General features: G+C 41.7%; 1 protein-coding gene across 2 annotated transcripts in view, besides 1 other annotated feature; it reads left to right on the plus strand.

Annotated features, from left to right (window-relative positions):
- The window catches only part of DOCK5 (dedicator of cytokinesis 5), a 231023-nt gene that overhangs the window by 14304 nt on the left and 190638 nt on the right, over positions 1–26081 (plus strand). The window lies entirely within an intron of this gene.
- Positions 42–131: a silencer, noted in NCBI's record as "silent region_19034". NCBI's record gives its function as "represses an Ori minimal core promoter by ATAC-STARR-seq in GM12878 lymphoblastoid cells {active_cell/tissue: GM12878}" and the evidence as "EXISTENCE:reporter gene assay evidence [ECO:0000049][PMID:35858748]".

Here is a 26081-nt window from a genome sequence, read left to right on the forward strand (position 1 = left end):
GTGTTTGAGGAGGTTTGAGCCTGCAAAGTGGAAGTGACACTGTGGGTTGCACGGTTTGGCCACTGACTTCTCACGTGGTTTCAGTCCTTAGCACCGTGGTATTGACATGACATCAGTTGCAAAATTAATAAGTAATGTGGCATTGTTACTACATCACAGGCATATTTGAGAATGAACATCACTGTGTTTTGCAAAGTAAACGTTTAAGGGGTGAAGAAAGGGTCATGTATTGCTAATAAAGGATTATGTTAGTAACCTGGATGTGAGAGAACATTTCTACTTTTTCAGACCTGTATTTCAAATAAAATGTGATGTCATCTTCTGAAGACTTAGGAAAAGTTTGAGTGAGTAAGCGCCTTCTCCCTCAGCTTCCATTTCCGCTCTGTTCTTTTTTTTTTTTTTTTTTTGTGAGACGGAGTCTTGCTTTGTTGCCCAGGCTGGAGTGCAGTGGCACCATCTCAGCTCACTGCAACCTCCACCTCCTGTGTTCAAGCAATTCTCCTGCCTCAGCCTCCCTAGTAGCTGGGATTATAAGCATTTGCCACCACACCCGGCTAATTTTTGTATTTTAGTAGAGACGGGGTTTCACCATGTTGGCCAAGCTGGTCTTGAACTCCTGACCTCAGGTGATCCTCCCGCCTTGGCCTCCCAAAGTGTTGGGATTACATGCGTGAGCCACCACGCCCAACCAACTTCTGCTCTATTTTCTTTGCTGGGAGTGGACAGCTTTACTCTGGAGGAGGAGATGCAGCCTCTTCTCATGCAGAGACAATCACTGTCATTCTCCATCGGGAGCAAACTCCTGAAATGGGGCAATATCTACCCACGTGGAACCAGAGGTGCTGGTGCTGGTGCTGGTGCTGAGCTTTGAACTTCCTTCAGAACAAAAGTAAACAGCAAGTTGCCCTTGTTCTTTACCATAAGCAGAGAAGGCCTGTCTATCCAATTGTGACTGCATGATTTGTTTTAGATTTGTTAATTTACATTTTGCAGAATACTGAGGCACATTTTCTGTGAACTTATGTGGTTATATATACTTTCAATCAGTGGATACTGGAAGCATTGTTATACATTTGATGTCTTTTATAAAAGAATCCTAAGGGCCAAAAATGTTGGGAACTTTGGAGTAACTGAAATGGCAATGTGCTGTATCTTATCATAATACTTTGGAGTTCATTGTGACTTGAAAATTCCAATTAAAGTTGGTATAACCTCTATCATGTATTGATTAAAAATGCACATACCCTTTGACTTAGCAACTCCGTTTCTCTGAGTTTATCTTACAAATATACTCCACATGTGGGGAATAATACATGGACAAGGTTATTCATTATAGCATTATTTATACCAAAAACATGGAAACTCTCAAGTGTTGGCTAATTGGGGATGGATTTAGTAATTTATAGCACATGCATACAATGGAAAACTATATAGCCATTAAAAAGATTCTGACGCAGTGATAGATAAAGTGTTGACAAAGGTGAGAGTGGCATGTAGTGGTTGAAGGATGATCTTTTCAAAAAATGATACTGAGTCGTTTGTTTATCTATACTGAACAAAATGTATCAGGACCCCTACCTAATACCACATAAAAAATTGATTCCAGCTGTATGAAAGATAAAACAGTGGAAGCTCTTAGAAGAAAACATAAGAGCACATTTTTGTTACCTTAGAATAGACCATCTGTAATTTAATACATTTTGCTTTCTGCCATTCAGTTAGTTACTTATGACCATCTCTTTGTTAATCAACAAAAACCAAATCCAATATTTTACTTCAATAAAGGGCAAAATAAAACATGCCTGTGCTGGTCTCATCTCTTTATAATCCTACTTTTTAAAACTTGTATAATTACATCTTATTAATTGTAGTGTTAATTTGTTGGTTGTTTAAGGATCTAAATGGCTATTTCTTCTTCTTCTTTTTTTGTTTGAGATGGAGTCTTGCTTTGTCACTTAGGCTGGAGTGCAGTGGTGCAATCTCGGCTCACTGCAACCTCCGCCTCCTGGGTTCAAACAATTCTTCTGCCTCAGCCTCCTGAGTAGCTGGGATTACAGGTGCATGCCACCATGCCCGGCTAATTTTTGAATTTTTAGTAGAGACAGGGTTTCACCATTTTGGTCAGGCTGGTCTCAAACTCCTGACCTCAGGTGATCCGCCCACCTCGGCCTCCCAAAATGCTGGGATTACAGGCGTGAGCCACTGTGGCCGGCCTAAATGGCTATTTCATGGTGAATAAACCATTAGCCTCAGGCTTCGTCTCCTCTCTCTGTTTGAAGACAATAAAGTATGATGTAATTGTATTATTTTGATAAGGTAATATTTAGTCCCATGACATACAAAACACTAGTAGCATTACATAAAACAAAGTATTTCAATAGTGAAAGAGAACATTTATATACAATTATTTCTATAGTCTAACAGTATCACTAACATTACATGCCTTTTAAAAAATATGTTTGAGTTACTGAAGAAGATTGAGATACAGATGTTGACTTGTTTAGGGCAACAGGTTAAGCTAACTTTAGAACGCTGATTACTACCTTTAGTCCTGCAGGCTGTGGAGCCGGGCAGCCAAGCCATGCTTGAAATCAGAATCGTCAAGGTGGATGCAAGAGCCATTGGCTGCAGAGTGAGGTTTTGGAGAGTAGTTGCTTGTGGCTGGGATTTTTGAAGTCCAAGTCTCCTAACTTTTATTACTCTTTACCTTGTGAAGTCATATAAGGCTCTAAGTCAAGTAAGACGGAAGGAATAAGATTAGCACACTTCCTGGTACAGTGGGCAGTACGTGATAGCTATCTGAAAGTTTGCTCAGTCGCAGCCTCCCTGACAGTACCCTAGCCTGGCAATCAGGTGCCTTTGTTTGCAGAGTGGGGCTGATTACCAAGTAGTTAATACTGGTTGGCTCAGAACCTGTCCTCAAAGTTCAGAATAGATTTGAGTATATTTTTGATTTTAGAGCCTTATGGCCAGAAATGGCCTTATCTTGCAAGAATCTTCCTGGGAAAAAAACATATATATATATATTTTTTTCTTCTCTTTGAGACAGAGTCTCGCTCTGTCACCCAGGCTGGAGCGCAGTGGCACAATCGTGGCTCACTGCAATCTCTGCCTCCCGGGTTCACGCGATTCTCCTGCCTCAGCCTCCCCAAGTAGCTGTGACTACAGGCATGCACCACCACCCCCAGCTAATTTTTGTATTTTTAGAAGAGATAGGGTTTTGCCATGTTGGCCAGGCTGGTCTCGAACTCCTGTCCTCAAGCGATCCACCTGCCTCGGCCTCCCAAACTGTTGGCATTACAGGTGTGAGCCACCGCACCCACCCCTGGAAAATATTTGAATTCCCAGGGATCTCTGGGTGATGGGACTGTTACTTTCTTCTGATCCTGTGCTTTTGGGGTGGTACTCACTCACTGGCTTAGAACAGCCTGGAATCCTAAGAGGAATGGATGAATGAATGAATTCACACACAACAAACTAACGGAAATGTTTTGAGTCACGCCACCTTGCGTGTGAATCCCCTTACTGTGGCTAACCCACCTCACTGTTCTGAGGAAGCCCATGTTCACTGAGCACCTTTTATGTTCCAGGGTCTTGCTGGGCTGGATGGTGGTGAGGATCACACAGTAGTCCCGCCTTATCCTCAAGGCATGCTTGAAACCACGGATAGTACCCAAGCTTGTATATACAATGCTGCTTCTATACAAATATATTTATGATAAAGCTGAATTTCTAAATTAGGCACAGTAAGAGGTTATCAACAATAACTAATAATAAAAAAGAACAATCAACACAATATGCCAGTATTACCACTCTTGCACTTTGGGGCCATGATTAAGTAAAATAAGGGTGACTTGAACACCAGCACTGCAATACCCCGGCAGTTTGTTTTTGAATTTTTTTATTTAATATTTTTGGACCTTGAGTACCTGAAGCCACAGAAGGTGACACAGGGGACACTAGGAGACTACTGTGTAAGATAAAGAGTCTATAGAAACACACATAGAAGCAGTAGGCAGGGATTCATAATGGCTGCTTTCCTTTTCTTTAGCTTGATAAGAGTGCTACCAAATACATCTCCAGTGTCATGAATTCATGGATGTGTGACCAGTAGCTCTTGGCCAGCCATTTCTGGTCTTAACACCCAGATCATCATAGAATATGAGGATAGGAATCCACTGATGACAGAATCCTGAATGACTATCTTATGTGCCTGAAAGCCTGCCTCAAAGAAGGCTGATGTCTTCTTGAATTAAAGAGTTGCTTGCATATAGAATATACTGGAGTCATTTTTCAGAAGATCCTTACATGGCTTGGCAGAGGGTGGCATCCAGTTTATCTTTGGCGGAATTAGATTTGCTGCTCAAGATTGTTTTCAAATTGTTTGATAGCTTCAGGGAGGTCCACTGGTAAGCTCACAAATTCAGAAATAGTTTGAGGCTACAGAAGAATTCTTTTCATGTTTGAGCTGTGATCTAAGCCAAGAGCCTTGGAAATTTTGAATCCGTCTTATATTTTCTTTCCTGAATGAGAAATGGGTATACTTGCTCAGTTCCGATTCTGACAACATGACTTATTTCAAAAACAAATAGCTCACTCCGTGAAGCAAACCCTGTATCACTCTCCTCTGGTGACATTTCGATTCTGATACAATGTGGTGGCATGGGGATAGATTTTAGACCAGGAAAAGAGAGAGCCTCTCATTTGTGGCCCAAAAGACTCAATTTTAAAGATCAGATTGGAATCTGTCAGGGAGGACATATGGACATAGTGATTTTTTCTTTTATTTGCCTTTTTTCGCCTCTCTTTACTTTTGGTTTAATGTCTTTTAGGACTTGAGGTACAAAATCCCATGTTGTGGAGGCATTAGCTAACAGTTGTAAAACCTTAGGAAAAGTACAGCATCTCAGTGATCCTGCCTTCCTAAAATTGCTCCTCAACAAATACAGATGGAGGAAATAGAAATATCTAAAATGAAACGTGTTCTTTCGTCTTAGATGTCTTTATCTTCTTGCTTTTATCAGCAGCCTTGAGTGACAGGATTTTATACTTTTGGAAGATTAGAGGGTTTGTTTGTTTTTCTTGCAGAAATAGTTACTTATACCATGTTCATTTATCTGCCTCAGTTCTGAGAATTCTTTGCCAATTTTTTTAATAGCATGTGTTTGGATGAATTATAGACTTCATAGAAGTAACTTCAGGAATTATCGACTTCATAGTCGATACAACATAATGAGACCCTGTCTGTACTTTAACTTTTTAATACAAGAAATTTTTTAAAATTTTAGGGGCATTTAGGTTTTTGGGGGATAGTGCATGGAGTGAAACTAACAGAAGTATTGATCCCAGGATTAGGAAGTTGGGTTTGTATTTCAGTCTCTGTTACAGGAGTGACCAAGTGGCTTGACTCTCTTTAGCTTAGTTTTTCCATCTGCAAAACAGAGATAATATTTTCTATTACCTTCTAGATTCTCAGAGTGTGATGAATTTTCAGTTGTTGAAAATTTCTGCAAATGAATTAAGCGATGCCTGTTAGGCCACATTAATGGACTAAAAACTGCTAGGATCTAAAGTTGACATGCCATTGAACTTTCTGCCTGAAGACTTACTGAGGAAACTTTGTCTACAAAGGTTTGGTGCAAAGAACCCCATTACTTTATGGCCAAATTTTCTTCACATGCCGATGGTAATCCAGTAGTCTTTCTTCTAACTTCTTGGCGGCTTTCATATACTCTTCAGACTGGCTAAGTCATACGTTAATAGGAAGAACTAATTTTCTCTCCCTGAGGCTGAACTTGTGATCTTTTTCATCTGGTTTCCACTTCTCAGATTTCCCCAAATCTCTCAGTCGTCTTTCCCAAAGTATTTAAAGGAAGATTGATTTTAACAGAGTGCTATGGACTGAATTATGTCCCTCACAAATTCCTATGTTGAAGCCTCAGCCCCTAGTGTGATGGTATTTGGAGATGGGTCCTGGGAGATAATTAGGTTTAGATGAGTTCATGGTGGGGCCCTCATGAGGGGATTAGTGCTTTTTTTAAAAAAAATTATTTTTAAAAATGTCTTTTATTAAAAAGTTAATTAAAGTACAGACAGGGTCTCATTATGTTGGCCAGGTTGGTCTTGAACTCCTGGCCTCAAGCAATCCTCCCACCTCAGCCTCCCAAAATGCTTGGATTACAGGTGTCAGCCCCTGTGCCTGGTCTCTTCTTTTATGTGGAGAGCGCTCTCCCTCTCTCTCGCTCTTGCTGTCTCTCACTCTCTCTCCCTCTGTCTCTCTCTTTCTGTCTTTCTCTTTCTCTCTCTATGCTATGTGAGGATACAATGAGAGGGTGGCCACCTATAAGCCGGGAAGAGAGCCCTCACCGGAAACTGACCATGATGGTAACTTGATCTTGGACTTCCAGCCCCCAGAGCTGTTAGAAAACACATTTCTGTTATTTAAGCCACATGGTGTGTGGTATTTTGTTATGGCAGCCTAAGCTGACTGAGACACAGGGAGTTGCGTGTTATTTGAAATACGAGTCCACTGTTGCCAGATCAAAGTTCAATCTCTGTAGTTTAATCCTAGATTTTTCCCTCCTCTTTTACAGGGATTTGAATCTAGTGAAAGTAATTCACATGCACATCAGATACATGCCTTTAGCAGCCTTCTGGCCTTGAAAATCCTGCTGTTGCTGATTCAGTTGTCAGGGCCCAAATCAGCTGGTGAACTCATGAGTTTGCAGGTCTAGAATTGTAGGTGTGGGAAGGGGAGAGAGACATGGGTTACTGAAGACTTGTGCAAATAAATGCTGTGTTCATCTTCACCGATTCACCAGGTATCTGAGTAGGAGGTATGCACTTAGCACTTGGAATACTCAGAGATAATGCCATTGCACACTTAATTGATACTTCTCCTAACACTTAAGAGAAGTGGACATAGATTCTGTTTGTGGGAAGTTTATAATGAATTAAAAGACCCCAAGTATAAAGCCATAAATAACTCCAGGGAAAGGAAGGCTGAACATGAAAAAAGTTGCAAAAAAAGTCCAGTTGGGGTTATTGGAGTTTAGAGAAGCAGAGATTATTCTAATTGAGGGAGTTGAGGAAGCTTCAGGGAAGTAGTTGAACTTTATAGAGATGGACATCAGGTTTGGGAAGGCTGGGGACCTGGCACAGCGTGAGCCCTGGCCCTAACGCAGTTATTTGTGGCAAGTGGATAATGAGGAAGTTGTCCATTCTTGCTGAAGCAAAGGGTGGGTAAAGTGGAAAAGAGGGAAATGATATAGATTTTGTCAGATTATGGGGAGACTTGTTTACCTTGATTTTTTTTCTTCCTCTTTAACCATTCATGCTGCAATAGTGTGCTGGTAAACTAGCTCTGTAGAGTGGGAGGAAAAAACTTGAGTTTGTAGCATTCACCAATATCTGTGGTGTAAATACTCCCACAGTGGCCAATTTCAGACCAGCAGTGGATTAAGAGATAGCTCACAGAATTCCTGAAAATTCCTGAAAATGTAACAGTTGGCCCTTCCAAACTAGTACAAGTTTGCTCCAGTATTCTGTGAAAAACCTGGGCTAGTTCCTACATGACAAATAGTTACAGTACCTGCCTGCCCACAGCCTGGATAGAAGACCCAGGGAAGGCCTAGGTAGCCTCGTTTTACACCATCTAAGATTCCTGTGGCCATCACTGATTGTCCCTGGATGGACACACTACCTAGAGGCCATTCCGTAGCCTGGACAATGACATATGGTTTGACGCAAAGAAGTAAGTACTCAATCAGGTTCCTTCTCTTGGGAATTTGAATGAGGAAATACCAATATGTTTTGCCACAGGGGCAAAAGCTAAAAGGATGTCGTTTGGGAGTTGAGTTGGTGGCAACCTGAAGCCATGTGGAAGCCAATGTTGTGAATGGAAACCACAAGGAAACTGAAAAAGCTGATTGATAGAGAGAGGGGAGCAGATGTGGAGAGACCCTACAGCCCTAGAGTGGCCCCTGTTCTTAGCAGCTTTCCAAGTCCAGGTCTAAAACATCCCTTTTCTGAGGCAATTTGAGTGAGTCTCTGTTCCTTGCAATACCGTGGCATCACTGAAGAAGTTTATGTGGCAACTCAGGGTACTTTGCAGAGCTTTCTATGAATGCAGACATACCTCCTTCTATATAGCACATCACTTTATTGATCGACCATAAGATTCATGGTCGATCAATAAAGCAATGGTTCATGAAGTTTGATGAAAGAAGTTTAATAAAAGAAGCCATTGCCATAGCATAGAAGTGCAAGGTGAGGCAGCAAGTGCTGATATAGAAGCTGTGGCAAGTTATCCAGAAGATCTAGTGAAGATATTGATGAAAGTGGCTACACTAACAACATATTTTAAGTGTAGATGAAATAGCCTTCTATTGTAAGAAGATGCTGTCTAGTACTTTCATAGCTAGAGAGGAGAAGTCAGTGACGGGCATCAAAGGATAGGCTGACCCTCTTGTTAGGGGCTAATGCAGCTGGTGACTTTAAATTGAAACCAGTGCTCTTTCACCATTCTGAAAAATCTGAGGGCCCTTAACAATTATGCTAAATCTACTCTGCCTGTGCTCTATAAATGGAACAGCAAAGTCTGGATGACAGTACATCTGTTGACAGCATGGTTTACTGACTATTTTAAGCCTACTGTTGAGACCTACAGCTGAGAAAAAGAAGATTCCTTGATTCAAAATATTACTGCCCATTGACAATGCACCAGGTCACCCAAGAGCTTAGATGGAGATGGACAAGGAGATTAATGTTTTCATGCCTGCTGACACAACATGAATACTGCAGCCCATGGATCAAGGGATAATTTTGACTTTCAAGTCTGATTATTTAAAAGAATACATTTCATGAAATGGTGGCTGCCATAAATAGTGATTACGCTGATGGTTCTAGGTGTAGTACATTAAAAACCTTCTGGAAAGGATTCCCCATTCTAAATGCCACTAAGAATATTGATGTTTCATGGGAGGAGGTCAAAATATCAATATTAGTAGGAGTGTGGAAGAAATTGATTCCAATTCTCATGGATGACTTTGAGGGGTTCAAAACTTCAGTGAAGGATGTCCCTGCAGATGTTGTGGAAATAGCAAGAGCACTAGAATTAGAAGTGGAGCCTGAAGATGTGAGAATTGCTGCAATCTCTTGATAAAACTTGAGCAGAGAAGAGTTACTTTTTATGAATGAGCAAAGAAAGTGGTTTCTTGAGATGGACTCTATCTTGGTGAAGATGCTGTGAACATTGTTGACAACCAAGGATTTAGAATAATCCATAAACTTGTTGACAAAGCAGTGGAAAGGTTTGAGAGGATTGACTCCAAATTTGAAAGAAGTTATACTGTGGGTGAAATACTATGAAATGCTATCAAATAGCATCACATGCTATAGAGAAATATTTCATGAAAGGAAGTATCAATTGATCTGGCAAACTTAATTGCTGTCTTATTTTAAGAAATTGCCACAGCTGCCCCAGTCTTCAGCAACTGCCACCCTGATCCATGAGCTGCTATCAATATCAAAGCAAGACCCTTCACCAGCCAAAAAATTAAGAGTCCTTGAAGGCTCAGATGATCATATGCATTTTTTTAGCAATAAAATATTTTCAAATTAAGGTCTGTACATTTTTTAGACATAATGCTATTACACACTTAATTGACTGTAGTGTAAACATAACTTTTATAGGCACAGGGGAACCGAAAAATTTGTGTGATTGGCTTTACTGCAATATTTGCTTTATTGCACAGTCTGGAACCAAATCCACAGTATCTCCTAGGTATGCCTATATAGCAAATTTCTTAAGAATAGAGGACAAATCACTTGCTTCTGATTGAGGTTAAAATATGCCCATGACCTTCATTTCTTTGCCTTCCCTCCCTCCCTGCACTCCTCCCAAATGACTTGTGAATATTATTTTTTCATTCTTTTTCATTCCAGCAGAGCTGGTTTGGAATTCATGATGTTGAAAGAATAGCCAGTAGGAACATGTGGTGGGGTGATGTTTTGTTGGCATTTACCATTACAGAAAATCACAAGAAAATTGGAGCCATTAGCAGCAGGGAAAGGAAAATGAGTTCTTTATCTGCTGAGGGCATCTGGTGAGGGAGGGTCTGTGAAGATGCCGCGGGTGCACTGCTCTAGTATGAAATGCCATTTGAAGGAGGCTCAGAGCACATTAGCGCCGTCATCCCTGTCTGATGTTCTCACCACACGCAAGTTCGTGAATAATTAAATTGTTAGGAAGGGGAAAGTCATGCATGGCGGGTCTTGCCCGAGGCTCAGGCAGACACACAATGAGGTCGCTACTCTGGGAGCCCAGTGGTCCAGGATGCCAGTCTGGCAGTGCCAGGGAAGGATGCTTCCTTTCAATAAGCGAACATTGTGAGGGAGCGGGGTGGAGGCAAGAGACCGCTTAGAAATCAGCACATGTGAATTCTGCTTCAAACTCTGCCACTAACCAGCTATTTGACCTTCCAGAAGTTGCTTCTTCATCTATAATGAAGGATGATGCCAAGAGGATTTTAACTTTTTGAGAAATAAAGCTCCTTTGAGACTGTAATGAAAGCTGTGGATTCTTTCCACAGAAAATGGTGCATATGTCTGTCGATGACATTTCACATACAACTTTAGGAAGTTTAGAAATCTTTGGGGACTCAAGGATCCCAGCTTAAGAAGAAGTCTTGCATGAGATGATGTCTGAACTTTTTTTGTATCTCTACAATTGCATTTTTCTGAGACTTTGGATCTTGGAAGGAACCTAGAATGTCAGCTGGGCTCTCACTTCTACTCTCAACAAGAGGCAAGCCTGCCCTGCCAGCATTTCGTGCAGAAGGCGCAAGCAACATGGGAGCCTCCTGTGTTTTCCTCAAAAGACACCATACTTCTTTTTCATTAGAGACAGGGTCTCAGCCTCGCTCTGTTGCCTAGAGTGCAGTGGCGCCATGATCCTCCCCCCTCAGTCTCTTGAGCTGCTGGGACTACAGGCACATGCCACCATCCCCGGCTAATTATATATATATATATATATATATATAAATGTGTGTGTGTGTGTGTGTGTGTGTGTGTGTGTATCTGTCTATTTATCTATCTATCTATCTATCTATCTATCTATCTATCTATCTATCTATCTATCTATCGAGTAGAGATGGGGCCTTGCTATTTTGTCCAGGCTAGTCTTGAACTCTTGGCCTCAAGCGATCCTCCTGCCTTGGGCTCCCAAAGTGCTGAGATTACAGGCATGAGACACTGCATCTGGCCCTCTATAACCTCTTGATGTGTGCATTCTAAGCGGGAAGAAACAGACAGCAAATGCACAGTATGTATAGCATGATGTCAGTGATCAGGGCTTTGAAAATATTGATGAAGCACAGTGATGCCATAGACAGTGATGGGGTGAGGTGCTGTTGTCGAGTTGGGATGGTCAGATAACGGCTCTGTGGAGGGGATATGTGGGAAAAGATGTGAATAAAAGAGGGATTGGGACCGGGCGCTGTGGCTCACACCTGTCATCCCAGCATTTTGGGAGGCCAAGGTGGATGGATCAGTTGAGGCCAAGAGTTCAAGACAAGCCTGCCCAACATGGAGAAACCCCATCTCTACTGAAAAATACAAAAATTAGCCAAGTGTGGTGACACATGCCTGTAATCCCAGCTACTTGGGAGGCTGAGGCATGAGAATTGCTTGAGCCTGGGAGGCAGAGGTTGCAGTGAGCTGAGGTGGCACCACTGCACTCCAGCCTAGGCGACAGATCAAGACTGTCTCCAAAACAAAAAAGAGGGACTGAGCCATGCAAATCTAAAGTAAGAACATTCTAGGCAGAAGATGTGGCACAGTTAAGGAGCAGTGGAAAGTGCCAATGTTCCTGGAGCTGAATGAGGGGAGGGGGAAGGGAGGAGGGAGAGGTGGGAGACAGGTTGAGAGACTGGCAGAGCTGAGGTTGGGGTAGTTCTTTGTCTACTGGAAACACAATTATCTGTACTCAAATGACATCTAATAATAATGGTTATTGATAAGCCACCCATTCATTTCATAGGCTTGGTTCATTACCAGCAATGGGCTGCTTTAATAAGACAGTGGTCCTCAAACCTCCTTCTGTCAACAGCACCTGGATAGCCTGCTTTGCAGAGTACCATTGGAATCAGATATCCCTGTCTTTAAGGAACTTACAGTACAGCAGAGGGGACAGGATGGTGTCTCCATTATTTTGTGCACATGGGAGAATTGCTGTGTCTCATAAGAGAAGCACAGAAAGTGCCAAATAGAGTTTCAGGAGAGGAAGTGAGTACTATCTATTGGAGAGGTCAGGAAGGCCCCAGGGAACAACTACGCCAGTTTTATCACCCATGCACTGGGGATGGTATTAGAACCTCCCACAGCATTGTATAGATAAACTGTTTGAGTGCCTAGAAAGCTTTCCACACAGGGCCTGGCACACACCTAGTAAGTGCTCAATAAAATATGGGCAAGCATTTGACTTGCGTCTTAAAGAAGGTTTACGATTTCTGAAATATAAAATGCTGTCTGTGGCCAGGCACAGTGGCTCATGCTTGTAATCCCAACACTTTGGGAGGCTGAGGCGGAAGGATCACTTGAGCCCAGGAGTTTGAGAGCAGCCTAGGCAACATAGAGAGACCACATCTCTGCAAAAACATTAAAAAATTAGTCTGGTGCAGTGGTGCATACCTGTAGTCCCAGCTACTCTGGAGGCTGAGGCGGGAGGATCGCTTGAGCCCAGGAGGTCAAGGCTACAGTGAGCTACTATCATGCTGCTGCACTCCAGCCTAGGCAACAGAGCAAGAGCCTATCTCTAAATAAATTAATTAATTAATAAATGCTATCTACGTAGTTTATCATGCAGATTTTTTAGAAATACAGCTTCCGCCGGGCACGGTGGCTCATGCCTGTAATCCCAGCACTTTGGGAGGCCGAGATGGGCAGATCACAAGGTCAGGAGATCGACACCATATTGGCTAACACGGTGAATCCCTGTCTATACTGAAAATACAAAAAAATTAGCCAGGCATGGTGGCGGGCACCTGTAGTTCCAGCTACTCTGGAGGCTGAGGCAGGAGAATGACGTGAACCTGGGAGGCAGAGTTTGCAGTGAGCCGAGATTATGCCACTGTTTTCCAGCCTGGGTGACAGAGCGAGACTCCGTCTCAAAAAAAAAAAAAAAAGACAGCTTCCATGTAAAGAACTATTCAGGTCAAAATAGCTAGCTATTTTTTTTTAAATCTGGTTGTTTGCTTTATGAGTAGTCTTAATTAACAAGAGGATCAAGATTTTTCCAAATCTAAATCCATCTGTATAGCCTTGTTCAGGAAACATTTTGTTCTTGACTTTGGCTTGTGTTTGATACACTTGAACTGTCTGTGTTATTTATTGCTTCTTTAATTAGAGCAGCTTTTAAGGACCAACTGTGGGCCAACAGTGTGCTAAGGGCCACGGGCAAGTTTCATGTGGGGTCTTGAAAGAGCTTACATTCTAGTCGGGGAAATAAGAAGTATACACAAAAGTCAAATTATGTTGAGTCTTCATTATGTGGGTACCACCTAGGAAGGGGACTGGATGTACCTCTGCTCAAAACATCTGGATCCCATTTCACTTGCGAAGTCTGTTTTGAAAGGAAATATCCAGATGTGTCACGTGACTGTGACCAATTCATCTGAAGTAGCTAGAGAGTGTCTGAATAATTTTATTTCGATGCTTGCAAGAGAGAGGGTCGAAAACCCCTTTATGCTGGACTAGAGGAAAACCTCAGCAAGGGAGGTCTGTGTCAGGCCAGCGTGATTCTAGATGGGGCTGACACCATCCTCTACCCTCCCCAGCCATGGCAGGGAAATGCTCAGGAAATAGATTAAGGCACGAGGGCTTGGCGTGGCTTAATTGACCCCTGAGTTTTGACTGCCAAAACCCTGAATAAGGATGAATCTGCTGTTTGGAGAATATTCCCTGAGCAATTTAAAGGCTAGTTTCTGGGTTTGCAGAAAAAGGCAAGGTTCACTGTGAACGGAGTCTTGGAGGTTGCCTACAATGGTCATGGGTGGACGAGTTTGTTGGAAAAGCCCCCGTGACTGGGCTCTCGGTAGAGTGGCAGGGCGTGTGTGTTGGAATGGAAGATGGAAAGTTAAACCTTGGGCTCAGTGGGCGTCTAATCAAGAGAGAAGTTTCCTGTGCGTCAGGCCCAGACCTAGGAAACGGGGAAGGTCTCCGTGTTTCCAGCCTCAGCCTCAAATGAATGGGCACCAGGATGGGCCGCAGTGACTTCTCCGGGGTCTCTCTGATGTCCAAAGCTCTCCCCACACCCAGATATTTTTGTTTCACAGGAAAGTCAGGAGCCTCCTGAAAACAGACATGAATGTAGCAAAAAAAAAAAAAAAAAAAAGCTGATAATCTCTAGGTTTCATCCCCCTTCTGGCTGCTGCAGCTATTTGTAACCTTTCCTTTGTGTGCGTCTGGTAGTGTCCCCTTTTTGAAGCCTTTTAACGTTTGAGAAACTGGAGACCTGGTGTTTTTTGTTTGTTTGTTTTTTTGTTTTCCTAGTTTTTACTCTTGTTTAGGGTCTGGCATTTTCATTTTCCTCATGCTACATCAGGGTTTAATTAGCAACTGTCTTTGAAATAGCCTTCAGGGAGGAATGAACTTTCTTTGTGAATACCTCCTCACCCCCCAAAGAAAAGCAGTAATGCAAATTAAATGTGTATCCAGAATTGCAGTCACTCTAATCCTGACATCACAAACGCATTTGTTCTTGGAAATGACTTTGGTGGAGCCTGACAGTTTTATGCTTCTTACTGTGGCTGAGGTGGAGTGTCCTCTTTAGATGCAATAAGAGATGGGGGAGAGGTTGATGCTTTGATTAGTAAACCTGTTACAGGTTGTGTGTCCCTTATGGAAAGTACTTGAGACCAGAAGTGTTTTGGATTTTGTATTTTTTTCAGATTTTAGAATATTTGTGTATACATACTGAGACATCTTGGGGATGGGACCCAAGTCTAAACACAAAATTCATTGGTTTCATATACACCTTATGCACGTAGCCTGAAGGTAATTTTGTACAATTATTTTCAATAATTTTGTCCATGAAGCCAAGTTTGTGTACATTGAACCATCAGAAAGCAAAGGCATCACTCTCTCATGGCAACGCTCTAACAGTTTCAGATTTTGGAGCATTTTGGAGTTCAGGTTTCTGGATTAGGGATGCTCAGCCCTTAGCAGGTTCTGTTGTCTCCCTCACTGACCCCTCTGCTTTTAGAGAACGAATTCTCTGCTTTGCCTGTTCCTCTTTGATCTTAACCTTGGATATTTTCCTCTTTCTCCTGGATGTTTGGTATCCAGGAGGGCACAGAGAGGTGAGCCTGGACCCCGTGTTGGGTGTGTGTCTTGGGGTCAAGGGATCCTGGGCACATGAGTGGGGAAGCCATTTCTGAGCACCTTTGAAAAAGGAAAAGTGGCATTTTCACAGCAAATATGGGTTGTGTCTAATCTGGTAGTTCCCAATTTCAATCTCCTATTTACCTCTTCAACATCCAGGCGGGTGACACACACTGTCAGTATCTATAAGTATACACAGTGATTCCTGTACCTTCACTGTAAGACTGTCAGCTGCCAACCCCTGACCCCCAAGCCCCACTGCCACTTCTCTTAAAGTGTGACTTAAATGCCATCCCCTGGCACCTCTTTTATCCTGTGGGAATAGTCTTATCGATTCAGCAGTCATCGGTTGGTCATTAATCTTCCACAAACCACGCACTTTATCATTGCGAAAGGGGACAGAGAGGATCAGGATGTTGGGTTGTGACACGCGAGAGAGCCCCATCTGTCCCTGGCTGCTCCGCTGAGGTCATGGTACAGCACAGAGGACCAGATGGGATGGCTAGAATCTGTGTCCTACCCTAACTTTGTTTTTATCCGCCACTGGCCAGCTGCAAATTTGCTCTTGCCAGCAGAGGCTAGGGCCTGGAATGAAAGACTTCCTATACTGCTGGCTGGACATATTTCTCCCATGCATCAGCAGATGAGCCTTTTGAAGGGTGAGACATGATCTGTGACTAGGGGCTGTGGGAAAACATGCCTGTCCTGGAGCTGGGGGAATCCTGGACTCCATTTTGGAGAGGGAGTCATCCAGCCCCCGTTGGGATATGGTTCTTCAGGCCAGGGAAGGCCCTAACAATGGCTCAGCTGGACTCTTTGTGTCTGTTTGAAAAACAGGGGAATTGGGTGACCAGTTTGATTTCAGCTTTAAAACATGGATAGGCTAGGGTGACACTGCCATCAACATATTCCATGGGAACAGAGGGCCTTTGGACAAGGCAGTGTCTCTGGGTGAGGGTAGGATGGGGGTGGGGGGATGTCTTTTCTCCTCTGTCCTGGATCTGTAGAGGCTGGGGAGAGAGAGAGAGGCACAGAACTTTCAGTGCTTCAAGTGCAGGAAGTGTTTCTTCTACACCCCGATCCCCAGTACCCTGGCCATCATCAGAGGCCGAGTAAGGTCACTGGTGCAACTTGTCCACTATGTGACAGTTGCCATTTATTGTGAAGGTAGGACAGTGACTCTCGGGAGGGCACAGATAAGGAGAAAGGAATTCTTCCCAAGCAGGGCAGGAGAGCAATTTGCAACCTACTCAATCCCTTGGTCATTGTGTTATTTCTATTTCCAGCAACATTTCTGACAACAGTATGTATGATTAGAACACATCTCTTTTTTTTCACCTTTAAATATAAAAAAGGCTTTATTAAAGCAGTACTGTTCTGTTTTTAATGAATATATAATAATTCCTATTACAATAATAACAGAAAGTGATAGCTATTAACTTTGATATTGCTTCCCCCAGTTTGGATAGAGAAAAGGTTATTGTCATTTCTATATTAGATTATTAAAAGTAACACCTCTCAGATTTTTTTCTTAATCTTTTCAAATCCTGGAAATAAATACACACACACACACACACACACACACACACACACACACACGTATACGATATGAATATATATCTGCATACAGTATGTATATATGTATACAACATGTATATACGTGTATACAATATGTATATATGTATACAATATGTCTATACGTGTATACAACATATGTACACAATGTCTATATGTGTATACAATATGTATGTATACAATATGTCTATACGTGTATACAATATGTATATATGTATACAATATGTGCATACAATATGTATATATGTATACAATATGTGCATACAATATGTATATATGTATACAATATGTGCATACAATATGTATATATGTATACAATATGTGCATACAATATGTATATATGTATACAATATGTGCATACAATATGTATATATGTATACAATATGTGCATACAATATGTATATATGTATACAATATGTGCATACAATATGTATATATGTATACAATATGTGCATACAATATGTATATATGTATACAATATGTGCATACAATATGTATATATGTATACAATATGTGCATACAATATGTATATATGTATACAATATGTGCATACAATATGTATATATGTATACAATATGTGCATACAATATGTATATATGTATACAATATGTGCATACAATATGTATAGATGTATACAATATGTGCATACAATATGTATAGATGTATACAATATGTGCATACAATATGTATAGATGTATACAATATGTGTATACAATATGTATAGATGTATACAATATGTGTATACAATATGTATAGATGTATACAATATGTGTATACAATATGTATAGATGTATACAATATGTGTATACAATATGTATAGATGTATACAATATGTGTATACAATATGTATAGATGTATACAATATGTGTATACAATATGTATAGATGTATACAATATGTGTATACAATATGTATAGATGTATACAATATGTGTATACAATATGTATAGATGTATACAATATGTGTATACAATATGTATAGATGTATACAATATGTGTATACAATATGTATAGATGTATACAATATGTGTATACAATATGTATAGATGTATACAATATGTGTATACAATATGTATAGATGTATACAATATGTGTATACATGTATAGATGTATACAATATGTATATATGTATATATAATATGTGTATATATACACATATATACGTATATATGTGTATATATACACGAATGCAGGAGAAGGTGATAGCATTGTTCACTTTCCTGTTGTAGGGAGAGAGAGAGATATATATATATATACACATACACATGTATACATACAATATGTATATATGTATACAATATGTATATATGTATACTATATATGCATATATATGCATATATACACACAATATCATATTAGTGGGAGATTTTTAAAACTAGTTTGTATTTAAACAATTAATTATACTGATGATCTCTGGACACCTTAGTAATGAACAACTTAAAAACGGGGAACTGAAGTTAGGGGTTTGAGTCACCATGAGTTTACTGAAGTTACTACCCCTGGGACTTGCCCTGACCAGTAGCATTCACTTGTTGGAGAGTTTGAGATTCTTCTTTCTGTGCCAGCTGATACCAGCAACGCATGTGCCAGACATCAGGCAAATAGAGTTGTTCTAATGCCTTTAGTTCCAGTGGCACAGAAGTCAGCAGTCAAGGTTGGGTGCTTCTTGGGTGGGTTATGTTGGTGGAGAACAATGTGTCAAAGTTGGTGGGAAAATATTATTGCCCAGACCAGCACCTGCAAGAAGGGGACCATGTCTGTGATTTCAGAGAGCCATATGGTAGTTTGAGAGGGTGCAGTATGCATGACATTAATCTAACATTGAATCATGTAGTGAGGAAATAATTCTTTAAAAATTCTCTTTCAGTATTTCTGGTTTCACCAAAGAGAATGGGACATGTTAGTAACGACTCTCTAACATTTGCAATCCCAGTCTTGCAGGCCACTGCACCTACTAAGATTGTTCTTTATTACCTTTTATTCAAAGGGAATGGTGCTGGTTTTCCAATTACTATAAAGAAATCAATTTAAATAATTTGATTTCAAATACATCTAAATGATGTACTTATGAGAAAAACAGTGAATTCGTTTAAGCAAATAGTAAGCAAATAAGTATCACAGGTGGCTGATGGGACTGAAATCCTGGAGGCAGGTACATGAACAAACAGAGCCTGGGAAATCCTGAGCTAGGTCATTGGTGTCTCTGGAATTTGTTTTCAAGTGGGTTTCATGAATCTTTTCTTCTATGAAAGTTAAACTTTTTAAGATTTTTTCAGAATGGTTATGACCTGATTAAGTGACAGGGACTCTCCTGCCTCCGTGGACAGGAATGGAGTGTGGAATCCCAGGGTGCCCTCAGGTTGGTCACACAGGCTCTGATTATCATAGGGCATCCCTGCAGGGCCCGGGGTGGCCGCAGAGCTCAGCTTCTGTCCTGGTTACCACACACATGCCACCATGACCACTGTGCTCTTACAGTTTTATTTCACGCTGCTTGCCTCCATAGTGCCTCTGTGTGGTGTCTGGACCTTGCCATGGTCCAGGGACAGCTGGATTGTTACAAGGGGGCATCACCAATGTCACCTTAGTGGTGGCTAGGAGATGTTCCTAGTCCCTGACTAGTAGGATCTTTTAAGTCCCTCCTGTGGTGTTTATGACACGTTCAGCTGTATGCTGGGGGCAATGGACAATGCAGGAGAAGGTGATAGCATTGTTCACTTTCCCGTTGTAGGGATAAATCTAACATAGAAGGAAACACTAACCGATTTGTCACAATTAAGGACTGTCTTGTGTGGAGCCTCTGTGGCAGTGCTGTGGCTCTTCTAGGGAGAGGCTTGAAGGCTAGAGCAGGAAGACAAGTTTCCAGGAAGAGAGCTTAGGTGGCAGGACCTTGAAGGCTGGGTAACAGAAATAATAATCATTGTAATCAAAATAATGCATGCATATACTTTTTAAAAATCCAAGGAGCACTAACAGGCTTATAATGTATCAAGTAACACTTTCCTTCGTCTTCTTCTCACCCAAATCTCACTGATACTCCTTTTTAAAGAGGATTCTTTTGGTATTCATATTGATGACTCTAAACATGCTTATTTTGCTCTCTTGTGATTCATCGGTTTTAGGCATTATTTACTGACTTCCGCTATCTGTTGGTAGACGAGTATCTGCTCTTCTACCTGGCTACTTCCCCTCCCCTCTGAGTCACAATTTTTTTGTTAAATTCACATTCCATGTTTATGATATTATGACTATGCAGATATTCTTGGCTGAATAAAATATGTATTATGACCCTGAGCCCTTCCTTGTACAGTTTTCTTTTTCTGGAGTTAATAATTGCTTCATTTCTATGTCCTCCAATATATCCCCTCTGATAATCTGTCAGTGGCATGTTTTTTTATTAAAGACCTCATCCCTGGAGCACTTTTTCTGTTAATTTCAATCTGGCATAGTCGCTCTTTATATCTCTGTCCATGGCTATCATCCGAGACCTCCTGTCCTCCTCATTTTGGGACCTTCCTTTTCCTCTCTCCATTGTTGGATTTTGTCTTTCCCCTTCTTGGTTTACTTATTTGTTTTTCTGGATTGCATCCTGTAGTAACTCTTTGAGGAAAGGTTCCGTGGTAACTTTTGAGAGCCTAAATGTCTGAAAATATCTCTATTCCACCCTTCCACTTCCTTGACAGTTTGCACATAGAACTTGAAAGTGTTTTCCCATGGGAATAATGCATATGTAGTAGTCTGTTGTCCTCTGGGGTCCGTGTTTTTTTTTTTTGAGACGTTCACAACCACTTTTGACTTTCTGTCCCCTTCAACTGTGACCTGGTTTTTCTTTCTGGAAGGTTCTAAAATCTTCTCTTTATTTTTGTGTTGGCATGCCTTGGTAGGAATCGTCTTTCCGTTATTTGTGCTAGGTATTCATTGATTCCAGAAAGTTATGCTCTTTACCTGGAAACTGTCTTGTGTCATTTAAGATAATATTTTCTTCTTACTCATTTTGTATATTCTTTGTGAAATTTCTAACAGATGTTGGTCTTTGGGAATTGACCCTTTAGTTTTCTTCTTCTTTTTTTTTTGTCTATTGTCCTTCTCTTTGTTTCACAGACATGATATTTCATCTTCTCTGCAGGTATCAATGATCGCTTTGATATTATTATTATTATTTTAGTTTTTCCTCTAATACTTGCACTGCCTCTTTTTCTGCCAGGTTTTGTTTTGTTTCGTTTCGTTCCTTTCCTTTCCTTTCCTTTTCTTTGTGTGTGTGTGTGTATATGTAGGTGTGTGTACTTCCTGTTAGAGAATTTCCCCAGTGGTTTCCTGGTCCTTGGCCGCTTGTTCCTATATAAAGGTGAGAAACTGAAAGTTGATTGGATGCTCTGTGTATGGCTAGGCATGTTGACGGGTGGACTTCACACTTAACTGCCTTTTTTGTTCTCTTTCTCTCTAAGACTTTCAAATGCCTTTATCTGTAGAAATTTCTCTGTGGCAATTCAGATTCTCCAGGAAAAGATTTTCTGATTTCATACCGAGGCAGGACACACCTGCTGCTAGGGCTCTTTGTCTGCAGCAGGAGGGGCTGGGGTCACAGCACGTTTCATGTGTTCTGTTACCCCCAGCTCTCCACAGGTACCGGGTGTCCCTGAGGCCGGAACATCTCTCATTCAGTTTTGTTTTGTTTGTTTGTTTGAGACAGAGCCTTGCTGTGTCGCCCAGGTTGGAGTATAGTGGCGCAATCTCGGCTCACTGCAACCTCCGCCTCTGGGGTTCAAAGTGATGCTCCTGCCTCAGACTCCTGGGATTACAGATATCTGCCATCATGCCTGGCTAATTTTTGTATTTTTGTAGAGTTGGGGTTTCACCATGTTGGCCAGGCTGGTCTTGAACTCCTGACTTCAGGTGATCCGCCCACCTTGGCCTCCCAAGGTGCTGGGATTACAGGCACGAGCCACTGCGCCTGGCCTCTCATTCAGTTTTTACAGGGGATGAACTTTCCTGTCTCCCGTGGGAGTGGAGAAGGGATTGTTATCTGGACCTGTGGAGGGGGTGGGTAGGGATGGTGGTTATTTGTCCCATCTCTCAAATTTCCCTGTTTCTTAGCAGTCTACCTCTCCAGTCTGTCCCTAACTGGGACCAAGCTACCTATATCACTTTATTTCTACAGTTCATTTTTCAGTCCCCCCCATTGTTGGGTATTTAGCTTGTTTGCTGCTTCTCCCAGTTTATTACTGAACTTTATGTTTAATTTGTCTTGTCTTTCTCTTTCCAAAGGAATATATCTGATAAGTGAAATTATTAGATCAAAGAATTAAAATATTTAAAATACTTGAAGCTTTTTAAAAGCTTCAGCTACATTCTGCCAAATCTTTTTTGTTTGTTTGTTTTTTGAGATGGAGTCTCGCTCTGTCGCCAGGCTGGAGTACAGTGGCACAGTCTGGGCTCACTGCAACCTCCGTCTCCTGGGTTCAAGCAATTCTCCTGCCTCAGCCTCTTGAGTAGCCGGGATTACAGGCGCCCGCCACCATGCCCGGCTGATTTTTGTATTTTTAGTAGAGAAGGGGTTTCGCCAAGTTGGCCAGGATGGTCTCAATCTCTTGACCTTGTGATCCGCCTGCCTTGGCCTCCCAAAGTGCTGGGATTACAGGCGTGAGCCACTGTGCCCGGCCCATTCTGCCAAATCTTAAATTCCACTTCTGCTACCTACCATCATCATCATCTCCATCACCATCCCATCATCATCATCATCATCATTAGTTGAGTACTTACAGGGACCATGCTGAGCAGTTTTCGTTCTCATCTCATTTAATCCTCACAGGAATCATGCATAAAGTGTACAGTTATTCCTCAGATTGGCAGAGGAGAAAATGAAGGCTTAAAGAAGTTTAATGACCTGTCCAGAGCCCCAGGGTTAGTGGGTGCTTGGAGCTGGGACTTATATCCAGGCTCACCTAATGGCATAGTAACGCTGATCATATCAGCTCCCCACTGCCAGGGCTATGCTGACCCATGCCAACCAAGACTCACCTTCAGGGCCTTTGAGAGTGAGGAAGTGTGCTCTGAATCTTACCTTTTCTCCTGCTGTCAGCCCTGCGAGTTAAGAGAGAGCATTGCTTTTTGCTAGGGGTTTTTGCTGTTTAGGACACTCTGTTTTCTGTGAAGGAAAAAGGATGAGTTCGTGATCTCGCTTTCTTCATGCTGGTCCACTCTGCACTGTTATTAGATAGAACAATGCTCTCCCCAAGGTCCTGGCATATGATTAATGCTTTGGTTTGCTTTCTAGGGTGGCTATGGATTTGTCTTTCTTTGAATAATTCCAGTATTATTTCAAACGGGATCTGAGAGGCAGACCATACTCTTGAGGGCCATGCCTTATTACTTATGAATTGTTTCCAAACCCTGTCTTTAAAATAAATGGAAATATAATTCAGTGGGTCATATTATGTTCACTTCTAGGCTGGGGGGATATGAGAGCTCTCCTAGGAGTCAGGTGGCCTGAACCGGCCCCTGACTCAGATGGTCCTTTATTTTCTGAGCCGTTGAGTAAAAGCGTGTGATATGCCCCGTCTCTAGCTGTTTCACAGGAGTTCCATGAGAATAAGTAAGAAGATCTCTAAATTCATTCTTTTACCCTCTAATCTGATAGGATGAAGACCAGGAATCATAATTATTGCCACATTAACACACTTAGTTAGAGCACATTAGAAATCCTTTCTTCCTTTCTAATCTCCCTTTCTTCCATCTGTTCCTCGCCTCCATCAGGGGCTCCTGGCAGCCCTGGGCTGTGTGTCCTCATCTTCCGCAAGCACCAAGCCCATGGCAGCTCAATGAGACCTTCATAGAGGCTGTCGGTCCTCAGCATTTCCCTGCCTGCAAGCAGATTCCCATCATCCAGTGAGGACAAAGTATGTGAAATTTGCCAAAAGTGTCTTGCACGCTTGGTGCCCTTGGCAGCTACGTCGCCAGCAGATGACACCCCAAGTAATGCCCTTCCTAAAGGGCTTCTCACCCTACCTGGAGTACTGCTTGCCCAGGTGCCCATGAAGTGCTTCCATGGAAAGTCCTGGAACCGAGGAGCTAATTAATCCATCCTTGCTTGAGCCCAGTGGCTTACCTAGGAGCCAAGTTTTGGAATATGTATTCAGGGTCTCAGTCCCATAAATAAAGTACATGTGCTGGAATGTTTTATGATTGGGACTATTGATATGTGAAGGTTTTTAAAAAAAATTTTTGAAATCTTATTTTAAATATAGAGACAAGGTCTCACTACGTTGCCCAGGCTGGTCTTGAACTCCTGGCCTCGAGTGATCCTCCCACCTTGGCCTCCCAAAGTGCTGGGATTATAGACACAAGCTACCACATCCAGCCAGAATGCTTTATTTATTTATTTATTAATAGACAGGTTTTTGCTCTGTCATCTGGGCTGGCATAAAGTGGCACAATCACAGCTCACTGCAGCCTTGACTGCCCCAGGTTAAGTGATCCTTCTACCTCAGCCTCTTGAGTATCTGGGACTACAGGCGTGGGCCACCACGCTCAGTTAATTTTTAAATTATTTGTAGAGATGAGGTCTCGCTCTGCTGCCCAGCCTGGTCTCCAACTCCTGTCCTCAAGCAATCGTCCTGTCTTGGCCTCCTACCATGCTGGAATTATAGGTGTGAGCCACTGCTTCTGGGACTGGCCGTGATTTTTAATACCACCAACAATGGGCATAAAAAATGAAATAAGAGCGAGTGATAAGAATGGTTTGCTATTATTGTCAAGAGAGGTAACTTACTTTTGTAACAAATGTGTTGATTACACATTTACTTGTTAAGATGGATTTGGGCCCTTTTGGGTAGATGATTATTTTGTTTTATTAAAATCTCTCTGAGATTAAATTTCTGTTAAACAGCGAGACCCTGTACTTTATGGATGAAGCATTGAATTCATGACCTGTCAAAACTGAGGCTCATCATAACAGACAGTTTCCCTGACCATGCTTTGTACTATTTTGTACAGCACTTATCACCTCCAATTTCTCTGTTTTATTTACTGCTGTATCTCCAACATGGAGAACAAGGCTAAATTGCACTCAGTTAATATTTGTTGAATGAATGAATGAGGCATTTTTAACTTTATCCTTTTTTCATGCTTTCCACGTTTATATACTATCCTTGAGTTCCAAATCTTTGTTTTTGTTTTTTGTTTTCTTTTTCTGAGACAGAGTCTTGCTCTCTTGCCCAGGCTAGAGCACAGTGGTGTGATCTTGGCTCACTGCAACCTCCGCCTCCCGAGTTCAAGTGATTTTCCCGCCTCAACTGCCCGAGTAGCTGAGACTACAGCCGGGCACCACCACACTCAGCTAATTTATATATTTTTAGTAGAGACGGGGTTTCACCATGTTGGCCAGGCTGGTCTCGAACTCCTGGCCTCAAGTGATCTGCCCACCTTGGCCTCCCAAAGTGCTGGGATTACAGGCATGCGCCACAGCTCCCGGCCTTAATCATCTTTGTCATTTCTGTGTGTAAACAAATATCTCCTTTTCACTATGTGGCATATATTATGGACATTCTTATATCCATGAGAAAAAGTGCAAGGAAGTGTGTCACTCTGAATCTTACTAACTTGTTGTTGGAAAAGGTACAAATGAAGTAAGAACGCTTCAACTAGGGGAGAGAAACTTTCATTTAAAATAGTTATGGTTGAGGGAAGATGGACTGCAAATTGTAGAGGCTGGCCTGAGGCTCTTCTCTGCATTGAAAGACATGGCATCATATTTTCTTCCTATAACACATTAGATATAAAAACAGCCAGAAAGGCAACCCCCATGTGTTTTATAACAAATCAAATAATACAGAAATGTATAAAGAAAAAGTTACTGTGTTCATTGGCCCCACCTCTGCTCTGGGCCACCCTGGCACCCTTCTCAGGAGACTGATGTGAAGAAAGTCATCTGCCCTACAGCTTAACCATCAAAAAACCTCATAACTCAATTAACAAATGGGCAAAAAACTTGAAAAGACGTTTCTTCAAAGAAGATATGTAAATGGCCACGAGCATATGAAAAGATTCTCAGCACCACTAAGCAGTATGGAAACGCACAACAAAACCACAATGAAATATCACCTCACATCCATTAGAATGGCTGTTATCA

The sequence above is a fragment of the Homo sapiens genome, chromosome 8 (genome assembly GCF_000001405.40).
Source record: "Homo sapiens chromosome 8, GRCh38.p14 Primary Assembly".
Lineage (NCBI taxonomy): Eukaryota > Metazoa > Chordata > Mammalia > Primates > Hominidae > Homo > Homo sapiens.